The 16,923-nt window shown below is 37.8% G+C and overlaps 1 protein-coding gene across 7 annotated transcripts in view; it reads left to right on the top strand.

Annotated features, from left to right (window-relative positions):
• The window catches only part of THADA (THADA armadillo repeat containing), a 365,188-nt gene that overhangs the window by 47,703 nt on the left and 300,562 nt on the right, over positions 1–16,923 (top strand). For all 7 annotated transcript variants that reach the window (NR_073394.2, NR_144316.2, NM_001345924.2 and 4 more), the window contains one exon: positions 7,020–7,177. Coding sequence is in view for 5 of the 7 variants with exons in the window: in NM_001345924.2 (NP_001332853.1) it covers positions 7,020–7,177 (158 nt within the window). In the remaining 2 variants the exon portion in view is untranslated. The remainder of the gene's footprint in view (positions 1–7,019; positions 7,178–16,923) is intronic.

Below are 16,923 nucleotides of genomic sequence, written 5' to 3'. Positions count from 1 at the left end.
TCCTCAAGTGGGTCCCTGACCCCTGAACCCTGAGCAGCCTAACTGGGAGGCACCCCCCAGTAGGGGCAGACTGACACCTCACATGGCCGGGTACCCCTCTGAGACAAAACTTCCAGAGGAACGATCAGACAGCAGCATTCGCGGTTCACAAAAATCCGCTGTTCTGCAGCCACCGCTGCTGGTACCCAGGCAAACAGGGTCTGGAGTGGACCTCTAGCAAACTCCAACAGACCTGCAGCTGAGGGTCCTGTCTGTTAGAAGGAAAACTAACAAACAGAAAGGACATCCACACCAAAAACCCATCTGTACATCACCATCATCAAAGACCAAAAGTAGATAAAACCACAAAGATGGGGAAAAAACAGAGCAGAAAAACTGGAAACTCTAAAAAGCAGGGTGCCTTTCCTCCTCCAAAGGAATGCAGCTCCTCACCAGCAACGGAACAAAGCTGGACGCAGAATGACTTTGACTTGTTGAGAGAAGAAGGCTTCAGATGATCAAACTACTCCAAGCTACAGGAGGAAATTAAAACCAAAGGCAAAGAAGTTGAAAACTTTGAAAAAATTTAGACAAATGTATAACTAGAATAACCAATACAGAGAAGTGCTTAAAGGAGCTGATGGAGCTGAAAGCCAAGGCTCGAGAACTACGTGAAGAATGCAGAAGCCTCAGGAGCCGATGCAATCCACTGGAAGAAAGGGTATCAGTGATGGAAGATGAAATGAATGAAATGAAGCGAGAAGGGAGGTTTAGAGAAAAAAGAATAAAAAGAAATGAACAAAGCCTCCAAGAAATATGGGACTATGTGAAAAGACCAAATCTATGTCTGATTGGTGTACCTGAAAGTGACAGGGAGAATGGAACCAAGTTGGAAAACACTGCAGGATATTATCCAGGAGAACTTCCCCAATCTAGCAAGGCAGGCCAACATTCAGATTCAGGAAATACAGAGAACGCCACAAAGATAATCCTTGAGAAGAGCAACTCCAAGACAGATAATTGTCAGATTCACCAAAGTTGAAATGAAGGAAAAAATGTTAAGGGCAGCCAGAGAGAAAGGTCGGGTTACCCACAAAGGGAAGCCCGACTAACAGCGGATCTCTCGGCAGAAACTCTATAAGCCAGAAGAGAGTGGGGGCCAATATTCAACATTCTTAAAGAAAAGAATTTTCAACCCAGAATTTCATATCCAGCCAAACTAAGCTTCATAAGTGAAGGAGAAATAAAATACTTTACAGACAAGCAAATGCTGAGAGATTTTGTCACCACCAGGCCTGCCCTAAAAGAGCTCCTGAAGGAAGCACTAAACATGGAAAGGAACAACCGGTACCAGCCACTGCAAAATCATGCCAAATTGTAAAGACCATTGAGGCTAGGAAGAAACTGCATCAACTAACGAGCAAAATAACCAGCTAACATCATAATGACAGGATCAAATTCACACATAACAATATTAACTTTAAATGTAAATGGACTAAATGCTCCAATTGAAAGACACAGGCTGGCAAATTGGATAAAAGAGTCAAGACCCATCAGTGTGCTGTATTCAGGAAACCCATCTCATGTGCAGAGACACACATAGGCTCAAAATAAAAGGATGGAGGAAGATCTACCAAGCAAATGGAAACCAAAAAAAGGCAGGGGTTGCAATCCTAGTCTCGGATAAAACAGACTTTAAACCAACAAAGATCAAAAGAGACAAAGAAGGCCATTACATAATGGTAAAGGGATCAATTCAACAAGAAGAGCTCACTATCCTAAATATGTATGCACCCAATGCAGGAGCACCCAGATTCATAAAGCAAGTCCTGAGTGACCTACAAAGAGACTTAGACTCCCACACAATAATAATGGGAGACTTTAACACCCCACCGTCAACATTAGACAGATCAACGAGACAGAAAGTTAACAAGGATATCCAGGAATTGAACTCAGTTCTGCACCAAGCGGACCTAATAGACATCTACAGAACTCTCCACCCCAAATCAACAGAATATACATTTTTTTCAGCACCACACCACACCTATTCCAAAATTGACCACGTAGTGGGAAGTAAAGCTCTCCTCAGCAAATGTAAAAGATCAGACATTATAACAAACTGTCTCTCAGACCACAGTGCAATCAAACTAGAACTCAGGATTAAGAAACTCAAAACCACTCAACTACATGGAAACTGAACAACCTGCTCCTGAATGACTACTGGGTACATAACGAAATGAAGGCAGAAATAAAGATGTTCTTTGAAACCAACGAGAACAAAGACACAACATACCAGAATCTCTCGGACACATTCAAAGCAGTGTGTAGAGGGAAATTTGTAGCACTAAATGCCCACAAGAGAAAGCAGGAAAGATCCAAAATTGACACCCTAACATCACAATTAAAAGAACTAGAAAAGCAAGAGCAAACACATTCAAAAGCTAGCAGAAGGCAAGAAATAACTAAAGTCAGAGCAGAACTGAAGGAAATACAGACACAAAAAACCCTTCAAAAAATTAATGAATCCAGGAGCTGGTTTTTTGAAAGGATCAACAAAATTGATAGACCACTAGCAAGACTAATAAAGAAGAAAAGAGAGAAGAATCAAATAGACGCAATAAAAAATGATAAAGGGGATATCACCACCGATCCCACAGAAATACAAACTACCATCAGAGAATACTACAAACACTTCTACGCAAATAAACTAGAAAATCTAGAAGAAATGGATAAATTCCTCGACACATACACCCTCCCACGACTAAACCAGGAAGAACTTGAATCTCTGAATAGACCAATAGCAGGCTCTGAAATTGTGGCAATAATCAATAGCTTACCAACAAAAAGAGTCCAGGACCAGATGGATTCACAGCCGAATTCTACCAGAGGTACAAGGAGGAACTGGTACCATTCCTTCTGAAACTATTCCAATCAATAGAAAAAGAGGGAATCCTCCCTAACTCATTTTATGAGGCCAGCATCATCCTGATACCAAAGCCAGGCAGAGACACAACCAAAAAAGAGAATTATAGACCAATATCCTTGATGAACATTGATGCAAAAATCCTCAATAAAATACTGGCAAACCGAATCCAGCAGCACATTAAAAAGCTTATCCACCATGATCAAGTGGGCTTCATCCCTGGGATGCAAGGCTGGTTCAATATATGCAAATCAATAAATGTAATCCAGGATATAAACAGAACGAAAGACAAAAACCACATGATTATCTCAATAGATGCAGAAAAGGCCTTTGACAAAATTCAACAACGCTTCATGCTAAAAACTCAATAAATTAGATATTGATGGGACGTATCTCAAAATAATAAGAGCTATCTGTGACAAACCCACAGCGAATGTCATACTGAATGGGCGAAAACTGGAAGCATTCCCTTTGAAAACTGGCACAAGACAGGGATGCCCTCTCTCACCACTCCTATTCAACATAGTGTTGGAAGTTCTGGCCAGGGCAATTAGGCAGGAGAAGGAAATAAAGGGTATTCAGTTAGGAAAAGAGGAAGTCAAATTGTCCCTGTTTGCAGATGACATGATTGTATATCTAGAAAACCCCATTTTCTCAGCCCAAAATCTCCTTAAGCTGATAAGCAACTTCAGCAAAGTCTCAGGATACAAAATCAATGTACAAAAATCACAAGCATTCTTATACACCAATAACAGACAAACAGAGAGCCAAATCATGAGTGAACTCCCATTCACAATTGCTTCAAAGAGAATAAAATACCTAGGAATCCAACTTACAAGGGACGTGAAGGACCTCTTCAAGGAGAACTACAAACCACTGCTCAATGAAATAAAAGAGGATACAAGGAAATGGAAGAACATTCCATGCTCATGGGTAGGAAGAATCAATATCATGAAAGTGGCCATACTGCCCAAGGTAATTTATAGATTCAATGCCATCCCCATCAAGCTACCAATGCCTTTCTTCACAGAATTGGAAAAAACTACTTTACAGTTCATATGGCACCAAAAAAGAGCCCGCATTGCCAAGTCAATCCTAAGCCAAAAGAACAAAGCTGGAGGCATCATGCTACCTGACTTCAAACTATGCTATAAGGCTACAGTAACCAAAACAGCGTGGTACTGGTACCAAAACAGAGATATAGATCAATGGAACAGAACAGAGCCCTCAGAAATAACGCCACTCTTATCTACAACTACCTGATCTTTGACAAACCTGAGAAAAACAAGCAATGGGGGAGAGGATTCCCTATTTAATAAATGGTGCTGGGAAAACAGGCTAGCCATATGTAGAAAGCTGAAACTGGATCCCTTCCTTACACCTTATACAAAAATTAATTCAAGACGGATTAAAGACTTAAACTTTAGACCTAAAACCATAAAAACCCTAGAAGAAAACCTAGGCATTACCATTCAGGACATAGGCATGGGCAAGGACTTCATGTCTAAAACACCAAAAGCAATGGCAACAAAAGCCAAAATTGACAAATGGGATCTAATTAAACTAAAGAGCTTCTGCACAGCAAAAGAAACTACCATCAGAGTGAACAGGCAACCTACAAAATGGGAGAAAATTTTCGCAACCTACTCATCTGACAAAGGGCTAATATGCAGAATCTACAATGAACTCAAAACAAATTTACAAGAAAAAAACAACCCCATCAAAAAGTGGGCAAAGGACATGAACAGAACTTCTCAAAAGAAGACATTTATGCAGCCAGAAAACACATGAAAAAATGCTCACCATCACTGGCCATCAGAGAAATGCAAATCAAAACCACAATGAGATACCATCTCACACCAGGTAGAATGGCAATCATTAAAAAGTCAGGAAACAACAGGTGCTGGAGAGGATGTGGAGAAATAGGAACACTTTTACACTGTTGGTGGGACTGTAAACTAGTTCAACCATTGTGGAAGTCAGTGTGGCGATTCCTCAGGGATCTAGAACTAGAAATACCATTTGAGCCAGCCATCCCATTACTGGGTATATACCCAAAGGACTATAAATCATGCTGCTATAAAGACACATGCACATGTATGTTTATTGCGGCACTATTCACAATAGCAAAGACTTGGAAGCAACCCAAATGTCCAACAATGATAGACTGGATTAAGAAAATGTGGCATATATACACCATGGAATACTATGCAGCCATAAAAAATGATGAGTTCATGTCCTTTGTAGGGACATGGATGAAATTGGAAATCATCATTCTCAGTAAACTATCGCAAGAACAAAAAACGAAACACCACATATTCTCACTCATAGGTGGGAATTGAACAATGAGAACACATGGGCACAGGAAGGGGAACATCACACTCTGGGGACTGTTGTGGGGTGGGGGGAGGGGGGAGGAGGGAGGGATAGCTTTAGGAGATATACCTAATGCTAAATGAGTAGTTAATGGGTGCAGCACACCAGCATGGCACATGTATACATATGTAACTAACCTGCACATTGTGCACATGTACCCTAAAACTTAAAGTATAATAATAATAAAATTAAATTAAATTAAAGAAGACTTTCACCAGCCTATTAGGTGCTGTTGTGCAGCGAACAAGCTGTTAGAACAGAAAGCCTTGGAGTGATAAAACCTGCCTTGACAGCCCAGGTGATATAAGAGCAGTGCTATATAATGAACCTGGGTTTGGGCAGCAATCAACTTCTCCCAGCAATGTGGTTCATTGTCTGCTGTGAGAGTTCTTAAAGTCAAGCAGGCTTTTAAAGGAAACAAACCTTATTAGTAAAATGGGAGCTGCTTTGTTGTGTCAAGCTTCCAGAATTCGAGTTCTTACATCTTGTTTGATCATTAGTTGTTACTGAATTTTCTGCAGTGCTGTAAAACGTCATCAGAAGCAGCAATTTCTTAGTGATGTATTACATATTCTACATTCTCCACTAGGTGGGGATATTGTCTTGCAAAAAATTATCTCCACACTTAAATTTTTAAATTACACAAAATAATGTATAAATGTAATTATAGCCTATTGTAATAGTTTCAAACAACAGAGGTACATATGAATTAAAAACAAATTAAATTCCTCCAAGGTTTCCTCTCCAATTCCATGTCTTCCTTCTTTAGTGCAATATATTATTTTGTACTTATTTTATATGTTTATGTGTATGTACACTTACCCATTTAATGCATTGGGCTTTTTAAATAAAAACACAAATGAGGTTACCCTATAAGTACCATTTTGTCAGCGTGCTCTTTTATTTAATATAATAGTTCATCTTGGATTTTAAAAAAATATCAGTACCAAAAATACTCCTAAAACTAGAATAAGAGAGTAAGTAAGGCTAATTATAGCTTATTGGCCATGGGAATTAAATATATTTTGAAAGATAATTTGTATTTTCCTTTGATTTTAAAAGTTATATTCTACTCCTTTACTAATGCAACAGTCATGCTCACCAAAATAAATAAGGAGTGTATTTATTATAGTCATCCATATCATACTTTATGACAGAGAGGCAGAGTTTGTTTAATCTTTGGAAATTAAAGATTAAACAAGTTTTGGAACAATATTGTGTTTTATTTTAAAATTTAATTTGAAAATAATAAATTAAAATACTGGGCCTGGCATGGTGGCTCATGTCTATAATCCCAGCACTTTGGGAGGCCCAAGCGAGAGAATTGCTTTAGTCCAGGAGGTGATGTGGTGAAACCCTGTCTTTACAAAAAAATACAAAAATTAACTGGGTGTGGTGGCGCATACCTGTAGTCCCAGCTACTAGGGAGGCTGAAGTAGAAGGATTGCATGAGCCTGGGAGGTCAAGGCTGCAGTGAGCCATGAGCATGCTACTGCACCCCAGCCTGGGTGACAGAGCGAGACCCTGTCTCCAAAAAAGAAAAAAAAAAAAACTTAGCATGATTTCTTCTCATAACACATGCTCGACAAATGTTAGCTTCTTTCCTTCTGAGTAAATATAACATGACAAATCGGGTTTGTTCAAGCAGATTATTCTTGGGGAAATTATGAATAAGCTTGTTTTTAGAAACCTGGGATATGAGTAATCAAGGTTGCAATCGTTGTGTTTTTTTTTGTTTAAGGTAAAGAAGTAAAAACATGTGATGTAACTGCGCAGATGGTGCTGGTATGTTGTTGGAGAAGTATGAAGGAAGTTGCTTTACTTTTAGGCATGTTGTGCCAGCTTCTGCCCATGCAGCCTGTGCCAGAATCTTCTGATGGATTATTGACGGTGGAGCAGGTAAGGCACATGTTTATTCCACCATGTATAATTTCTGGTCAACGCATAAATCACTTTTTTTTTTATAACCCAACTCTAAAAAAAGGTTTAAAATTTTTCTTGAATAAAATCATACAAATGTTAACTGAAGAAAGTTCATGGTAATTTAGAATGTTAGACTTTATAATACATTTCAAAACTGTGGCATTTTTAGAAATTTTTTCTAAGGTATATAAATAACTGTAGATTTTACCTCACTTTTAACTGTAGTTTTATCTCTAATTTTTATTTCTCCATTTCACATACACAGACTTAAACTTTAGCTTAAAATTGTCTTATTTAGTAAAACTCCACAAATCTCTTAAATTTTGGAAAGAAAAAAAGTAACATGTTGGTTGATTATGGATCTCATGTTTCCCACTGCATTGATAATAAAGTTGTAGTCTTGGTTTTTTTGGCTGACTTTTGTTTTAAGACCACAAAGTTAGTTCACCATCTGGGACTGTTCAAGTGACTTGAGTGCGGTGTTTACAAGAAGTTAGCTTACCACAAGCATTTCATTTGGAAATATTTTAGATTTATTAGATTTCTGTTTTTAATTGATTCCCTCTTCCTTTCCATATGGTTTTGACAAATCCATTTCCCACCATTTTTCAGCAAAGATATATAACATGTACTTTCATTTTTAACTTTTTAAAAATAAAGGCAACTTTTTCCCTAGGGTGTTACAATTCAAGAACAAAACAAATATTGTAGTATGCTAATGCTGATTATTTCTATAATAACCACATGACTAGTTCCATGGAAATAATGCTAATACTTTTTTTCTCACACTCTGTGGCTTATGTTGCATGCATCTGGTTAACAGCTGCGCTTGTGATGTTGCAAGGCCTTGAGATGAAGAAAGGCAAAGGCGCACAGGACATTTCAGGCATCATTATGTTCCTTATTCTCTTCCAAATCAAATAGGCGTCAGTGTCCTAGAGTTACTTGCAGTCATTGCTGGTGACTGGCTGTAGTGCCAATGCCAACATCTTTGCTGAGGAATCCAGCTATGATTAATGATTACTTCACTGATGTTCACCATCTTGCTAAGAAGTAAACATGTGCTAGAGGCCTTTGATTTCCCAACTTCTCTTTCCAAGGACAAGTTAAAACATTTAGTTTTTTGGGTTTGTTGGGTAGTGTTTAAAAAACAAATTAAGGGAAGTGTATTTTGCTTTTACTGTAACTAAGACGTGAAAGCTTCCTATGAACATTATTTTGCCTTGACACTTTTCACATAGCACCCAAATCTTATGTATTTAATTTGTGTGCGACAGCCGTGTTAAAATTGGGAATTAATGTAAAATAAGAGATGTTTGTTAAAAAAAAAAACAATTATCACAAAAAGACAGGTTCTTATAAACCAAAGAATTCTTCCAGTGACTGCTTAAATAAAAAATAAGATCCTGACTGTTTTTCTGTAAAACATTAGTTTCCGTTGTAATGAGGTCCAGTCATTTTTCTATGTTGCCATTCACATGGTAACCTCACATACATAGGCGTGAGAAGAAACTGATGACTGAATGAGCGATGAACTGTATATGTAATAGCAGTGTTCTAACACTGGAACCCCGTCCCCTATGAAAAACTTGATTCTTCGTATTGCTGACTTTAGCTAAAGAAATGTCTCAGTTTAGGAGTCAATAAAAATCCAAAGTCATCAAGAAATTAGTGTTATTTACATTACTGGAGAATTCCTGCTTTTAAACATAACCTTTTGCCCCATGAACTTCCTTTAAATTAATAATAATTAAATATACTTACATGTGCTTAAAACCTTTAAGAGTTAAAAATATAAATGACAGAGAAGAACATCATTTACATTGGAATGGCTGGGCCACACCTGAGGTACACCCTTCCAAGAGCATAGTTGCCCTGGCAAAGCTAGATCTGTGCCTAGTGGTAAAACTATGAGTTTAAGAGTCAAGCCTTAGGTGAATGTGACTGCCGTCTGAATACACGGAGGCAGTGAAGTGACTTGCAGGCAGAATGCAACCCTAGTTAGAGGGGAGAATGTGGAACTTGCATTTCTTATTCTTCAGAGTAGTAACTGTGATCTACTTTTCTCTCAATGGATGAAGAAAGCCATTCCATACAGTCTAAAATACAATTCTATTCTATTTTGAAATTTGATGACTTGAATGTAGATGACAGTCCGTTTAAAATCATCCTGATTTTACAGCTCCTTGTTTAAACCGGTGGCCACTTAAATCCCCCATATAGGAGTATAAAAGGTAGGGAGATTACAGTTTGGGGTTTTTTGTTGCTGTGTGGGGAGAAGAAATGGGGCTTGTTTATAATTCTGAGTTTTCAGTGATATATTCACAAACCATTAGAGCTGGAAGGATCATAGAGATGATATTATCCAGCTCTCTTGGACAAGAGGAAGCTGAACCCTGGATGTTACCTGGTTTGCCCAAGATTGCAAAGCTAGTTTGTGGCAGCTCTGGAACAGGAACCCAGTTCTTCTCCTTGCCAGCCTGTGTTCTGACATGGCACAGTGCTGCCTTTGTGAGCTGCTCATTTAATTTTTCTTTAAGTTTAATTTTCTGTATTTCCCATATCCAGGTAAATTTTCGCAAGCAACAGGACAGTAAGATGACTTGCTACTGAACTTTTTCTTAAATGATTGATTCCCTAGAGCACTTCCTGTGAAGCAGTGTGCTGTCACCAGTTTCTCCAGGAGGAAAATGTGTTCATTCAGAGGCATGTCTGACTTTCCTCCTTCACTGTAATCACATAATGAAAGGTTCTTTCATAGTGTTCCTGTACAAGAGGCAGAGATAAAACCAACTTTGAGGGATGTAAGTGGAGACCCTTCAAGAGTAAGCAGTACACACAACCTTATCTCACAACTTCCTGACTAGTTGATGTGTGTGGAGTTTTCAAACTTGATGTTTTGCTGATGTAGAGCTTTTGCTTGTTATATTTTGTTGGTTCTCTTTTCATGGGCTATCTGATACCCAGTGCCTACTGATTTTTTAAAACAGCTTCCTCCACCTGGAGTACTATATGAACTTAAGTTTATATGTATTTCCCTAATATTCTTAAAAAGAAACTACTAGGTAGATTTTTCATTCATGCTTTCCCTCTGCAGTAATTATCGCCACAGAAATCACACGAGTAAGATTGCCAACTATTAGAAATTGCTATTTTAAAACATTCTTTTTTAGTTTAGTTTTTTTTTTTTTTTTTGAGTCTGGGTCCCATTCTGGCGCCCAAGCTAGAGTGCTGTGGTTCCATTTTGACTCACTTCAGCCTCAACCTCCTGGGCTTAAGCCTCCCAAATATTTGGGACTATAGGTGTGTGCTACCACTCCTGGCTAATTTTTGTAGAGACGGGATCTCACCATGTTGCCAGGCTGGTTTTGAATTCCTGGACTAAAGCGATCCTCCCACCTCAGCCTCCCAAAGGGCTAAGATTACAGGCATGAGCTACCATGCCCGGTCTAAAAATTGTATGTTAGATTCTGTTGTAACTTTTATGATGCCCAGAGTTAACTACATTGATGTATTCCCTCAGTAGTGTCTTTTGTTATTACTTTAGATTTTCTGTAATGAACTACAAATGGGATATATGTTTATTCACAAGTCTTAAATTGCTTTTTGTATTTTCTTTTGCCAAAGTTTATTTTTTAGAAATTACAAATAATTTCATTGAATTGCACTCAATGCAAGTTCCCATTTTTAAGCTTTGAAATGAAGTTGTGCATGTAACCACATCCTATTTATTGACTGCCTTACTACAAGGATATCGTGGGAAAATAAAGAAGTACATAGTATGTGGTTCTGTGACGTCAAAGGGCTTAGAAATACAATAGAGGATACCAGACAGAAATTCATTTTAAAAAGTCAGACTACAGGGCAACAGTTAATATTGCCCATGGTTAAGAATTTGCTAGAAAGCAAAGAATAAACATTCTGGTAAGATGATATCTGAGTGGTAGAAAATTATTACCTTTGTTGTTTTGTAGGAGAACAGTGTTTGAGCTTTGAAGAAATCCCAAAAGTTAGTAACAAATCACTGTAGGAGAGAAGGTACAGTTTAAAACATTAACTGTTTTACTGGAGTGTAAACTTTTGTAAAACATCCCGTTTAACCAAAGTGAAATTAGAAGTGGCTGTGTCTTAAAGTCAGAATTCAAATTAAGGCTTAGGGATTAAGGCTCACTACTTTATAGTATAAAATAAAAATAAAATGGACATTTACTGTTTGCTACTCTTTGCCAGGTACTCTGATAAACACTTAAATGCATAATCTTATTATTTATTTCTCACAATAATCCTGTGAAGTAGGTTCTAGTGTTAGCTCCATTTCACAAGTAAAAGAACTGTGTTTAATTACTTTGCGTTAGTAGTACATTTCAGAATTTACCTTCTCTAGATAAAGGGTAGATTTAAAATATATTTATATTTTTTTTAATGGGTTTTATGCTTTAGATGAGCATTTAGATCCCCTAATTAGTCTGTTGGTGAATTATACCTGCCTGGAAACATGGCATGTAGCTTCTTCCCCTGTGGAAATTTATACCCTGTGAGTCCATAAAACATGTTAATTTCCCTATAGAGATACTTTTTATGAAAAGTTAAGAGCAGGATATGCTAATTTTAAAAAGACAAGTGATTAGAATTTAAATTTCTGTTCTTTAAATTTTAAGAACAGAAATCACTGTATTTTTCTTTCACTTTGATCTTAATTTCCTTTATAAAAATCCTGAGATGTATGTTATTAAAAATTATTTTGCTGGAGGTAACATACTACCAGACTTCAAAATATACTACAAACCTGTAGCAACAAAAAAGTGTGGTACTGGTGTACAAACAGACACATAGACCAGTGGAACAGAATAGAGAACCCAGAAATTAATGTATCTACCGCCAACTGATTTTCGATAAAGGCTCCACGAACTCTCATTGGGTAAAGGACTGTCCAATAAACGGTGCTGGGAAAACTGAGTATGCTTTCTTCATATGCAGAAGGATGAAACTAGACCCACCTCTCACTCTATACAAAAATCAACTCAAAATGAATAGGCTGGGCACGGTGGGTCATGCCTGTAATCCCAGCACTTTGGGAGGCTGAGGCGGGCGGATCAAGAGGTCAAGAAACCAAGACCATCCTAGCCAACATGGTAAAACCCCGTCTCTATTAAAAATACAAAAATTAGCTGGGCGTGTGGTGTGCACCTGTAGTCCCAGCCACTCGAGAGGCTGAGGCAGGAGAATCGCTTGAACCCAGGAGGCAGAGATCGCACCACTGCACTCCAGCCTGGTGACAGAGCGAGTGTCAGTCTCAAAAACAAACAAAAACAAAAAACAGAAATTAACTCAAAATGGATAAAAGACCTTCAAAACAATAAATGGTAAAGACTACTATAAAACTACTTGAATAGTGGTATTTATTCAGGACATTGATCTGGGAAAAGATTTTTTCTTTTTTTTTTTTTTTTTTTTTTTTTGAGTCTCGCTGTGTCGCCCAGGCTTGAGTGCAGTGGCGCTGTCTCGGGTTTAGATGAACCTCTGCCTCCTGGCTTCAAACGATTCTCCTGCCTCAGCCTCCCAAGTAGCTTCGATTACAAGCATGTGCCACCCTGCCTGGCTAATTTTTGTATTTTTTTAGTAGAGATGGGATTTCACCATGTTGGCCAGACTGGTCTCAGACTCCTGACCTCAGGTGATCTGCCCGACGTGGACTCCCAAAATGCTAGGATTACAGGCGTGAGCCACCGCCTGGCCTGGGAAAACATTTTTATAAATAAGACCTCAAAAGCATAGACAACAAAAAGTAAGTGGGATTATATCAAACTAAAAACCTTCTGCACAGCAAAGGAAACAACAGAGCCAAAAGATAAACTTCAGAATGGGAGAAAAAAATTTGTAAACTATTCATCTGACAGGATTAATGTCCAAAATGTACAGGGACCTCAAACATCTCAACAGCAAAAAAAAAAAAAAAAAAAAAAAAAGGACAAATGATCTGAACAGACATTTCTCAAAAACAGAAATGACGAACAAATATATGAAAAAATGTTCAACATCACAAATCAGGGAAATGCAAATCAAAACCACAATGAGATATCATTTCATTCCAGTTAGGATGGCTGTTCCCAAAAAGACAAAAAAATAACAAATGATGGCAGGAATGTGGAGAAAAGGGAACTCTTACACCCTATTGGTGGGAGTGTAAACTAGTATAGCTACTGTGGAGAACAGTGTGGAGATTCCTCTAAAAACTACACATAGAAATACCGTATGATCCAGCAATCCCACTACTAGGCATTTATCCAAGGAGAAGGAAATCAGTATATTGAAGAGATAGAGTGCTGCAACCCCTTGATTGAATAGTGTTGCAATCCCATGTTTATTGCAGCACTATTCAAAATACACAAGGTACGTAATCAACCTGGGTGTCCAACAACAGATGAATGGGTAAAGAAATGTGGTGTATATATACAGAGTGGAATACTATTCAGCCATAATAAAGAATGAAATACTGTCATTCGCAGCTACATGGATGGAACTGGAGGACATTATGTTAAGTGAAATAAGCCAGGAACAGAAAATTAAGCACTGCATGTTCTCACACATGTGGAAGTTGAACTCGAAGTAAAAATTAGAGCAGAGGATACTACAGGCTGGGAAGAGTAGTTGAGAGGGTGGAGATAGGTAGAGTTGTGAAAGGATACCAAATTACAGCTACATAGGAAGAATAAGCTCTAGTGTTCTTTACCACAGTAGGATGACTATAGTTTGCAATAATATATATATATTAATAATTCCAAATAGCTAGAAGCAGGATGTTGAATGTTCCTAACACAAAGAAATGATAAGTGTTTGAAATGATGGATAAGCTGATTATTCTGATCTGATCACTATTTATTATATGTATTGAAACATTACTGTGTACCCCATAAATATGGATAATTATTTGTCAATGAAAAAGAATTTTTAAAAATGCTTTAAAAAATCTGTCTTCATAAAAGGGTTTACATGTCTTTATTATTTCAAGGTGCATTTTAATTTTTGATGTTATTGTAAATCCATCTTTATAAAAAATACATATTTGAACTTTATCTTGCTGGGCTATAAAAATACAACTGCTTTTTAAATATTTATCTTATATTCATCCATATTACTAAACTCTATTATTTTAATCATTTGTGGATTATTTGTAGATTATATGTCCATAATGTCACCTGCAAACAAGAGTTTTTTGTTTTAAATTTTTATTTTACTTTAAGTTCTGGGAGACATGTGCTGAACGTGAGGTTTGTTACGTAGGTATACATGTGCCACGGTGGTTTGCTGCACCTATCAACCTGTCATCTAGGTTTTAAGCCCCGCATGCATTAGATATTTGTCCTAATGCTCTCCCTCCCCTTGCCCTCCACCCAACGACAGGCCCTGATGTGTGATGTTCCCCTCCCTGTGTCCATGTGTTCTCATTGTTCAACTCCCACTTATGAATGAGAACATGTGGTGTTTGATTTTTTGTTCCTGTGTTAGTTTGCTGAGGATGATGGCTTCCAGCTTCATCCAAGTCCCTGCAAAGGACATGAACTCATTCTTTTTTTGTGGCTGTATGGTATTCCATGGTGTATATGTGCCACATTTTCTTTAGCCAGTCTATCATTGATGGGCATTTGGGTTGGTTCCAAGTCTTTGCTATTGTAAATGGTGCTGCAGTAAACATATGTGTGCATGTGTCTTTATAGTAGAATGATTTATAATCCTTTGGGTACATACCCAGTAATGGGATTGCTGGGTCAAATGTTATTTCTAGTTCTAGATCCTTGAGGAATCGCCACACTGTCTTCCACAACTGTTGAACTAATTTACACTCCCACCAACAGTGTAAAAGTGTTTCTATTTCTCCACATCCTCTCCAGCATCTGTTGTTTCCAGACTTTTTAATGATTACCATTCTAACTGGCATGAGATGGTATCTCATTGTGGTTTTGATTTGCATTTCTCTAATGACCAGTGATGATGAGCTTTTTTCATATATTTGTTAGCTGCATAAATATCTTCTTTTGAGAAGTGTCTGTTTATATCCTTTGCCCACTTTTTGATGGGGTGGTTTGTTTTTTTCTTGTAAATTTTTTTATGTTCCTTGCAGATTCTGGATATTAGACCTTTGTCAGATGGATAGATTGCAAAAATTTTCTCCCATTGTGTAGGTTGTCTGTTCACTCTGATGATAGTTTCTTTTGCTGAGCAGAAGCTCTTTAATTAGATCCTACTTGTCAGTTTTGGCTTTTGTCGCAGTTGCTTTTGGTGTTTTAGTCAAGAAGTCTTTGCCCATGCCTATGTCGTGAATGGTATTGCCTAGGTTTTCTTCTAGGGTTTTTATGGTTTTGTTTCTTTCTCTTGCCTGATTGCTCTGGCCAAAACTTCCAATACTATGTTGAATAGGAGTGGTGAGAGAGGGCATACTTGTCTTGTGCCGGTTTTCAAAGGGAATGCTTTCAGCTTTTGCCCATTCAGTGTGATATTGGCTATGGGTTTGTCATAAATAGCTCTTATTATTTTGAGATATGTTCCATCAATACCTAGTTTATTGAGAGTTTTTAGCATGAAGGGGTATTGAATTTTATCGAAGGCCTTTTCTACATTTATTGAGATAATCATGTGGTTTTTGTCATTGGTTCTGCTTACGTGATGGATCACGTTTATTGATTTGTGTATGTTGAACCATCCTTTTTTTTTTTTTTTTTTTTTTGAGGTGGAGTCTCACTCTGTTGACCAGGCTGGAGTGCAGTGGCACAATCTTGGCTCACTGCAACCTCTGCCTCCCGGGTTCAAACGGGTCTCCTGCCTCAGCCTCCCAAGTAGCTGGGACTACAGGCGCATGGTGCCACTCCCGGCTAGTATTTTGTATTTTAGTAGAGACGGGGGTTTTACTGTGTTGTCCAGGCTGGACTCGAACTCCTGAGCTCAGGCAATCCACCAGCCTCAGCCTCCCAAAGTGCTGGCATTACAGGCATGAGCCACCGTGCCTGGCCTCTTTCATATTTTTTTTACACTTTTCATTTCTTCTTATTTTAGTGTGCTGGATAGGGGCTCCAGAACAGAATTCAGTAGAAGTTGTGACAGTAGGAACCCTTATCTTGTTCCTGATTTTAAAGAGGATTAAAAAAAAACACACACCAAAAAAAAAACCCTACACTGTTGTCTGTGATGTTTGCCTATTGGGTTTTTATAGGTATTCTTTATGATGTTAAGGAAGTTTTTGTCTCTTCCAAGTTTGCTAAGAGGTTTTTTTAAAAAAATTATGAGTCGAAAAAAAGGAAAAGACTAGAAAGAAATGCAATAAAAATTAATAGTTACCTCTAAAAAATTATTTTGTACATCCATTATCCATTTTGTGAACCTTAAATAGAAACTCAGTGGTATCTAATAGGCAATTGAGTTGGAGTTTTCAGAGGTTTTCATTTTAAAGTGAAAATTCAGAGATTTTCATTTTAAAAATCAAATTTTGAAATTGTTTCTGATTTTGTTGTTATTAATTTTGTAAGTGGTTTGAGTTAAGTCTGTTTCATGTAGTCTGATTATCCACTGGGAGGCTGTCAGCCTGGTGTGTTTCTTCTCTGTTCAGCTGCTCATGGACTACACTGCCAAGCCCACTAGTCATTTGTAATCGGATTCTTCTCTTCCTTGTAGCCTTGTCCTTACTGTTTTCTAGCACGAAACCTCTAGGTCACTCAGCCAGGTTTACTTAC

Source organism: Homo sapiens, chromosome 2 (assembly GCF_000001405.40).
Source record: "Homo sapiens chromosome 2, GRCh38.p14 Primary Assembly".
Classification (NCBI taxonomy): domain Eukaryota; kingdom Metazoa; phylum Chordata; class Mammalia; order Primates; family Hominidae; genus Homo; species Homo sapiens.
Note: the sequence above shows the minus strand (reverse complement) of the source record. Positions and strands in the feature narration are given on the sequence as shown.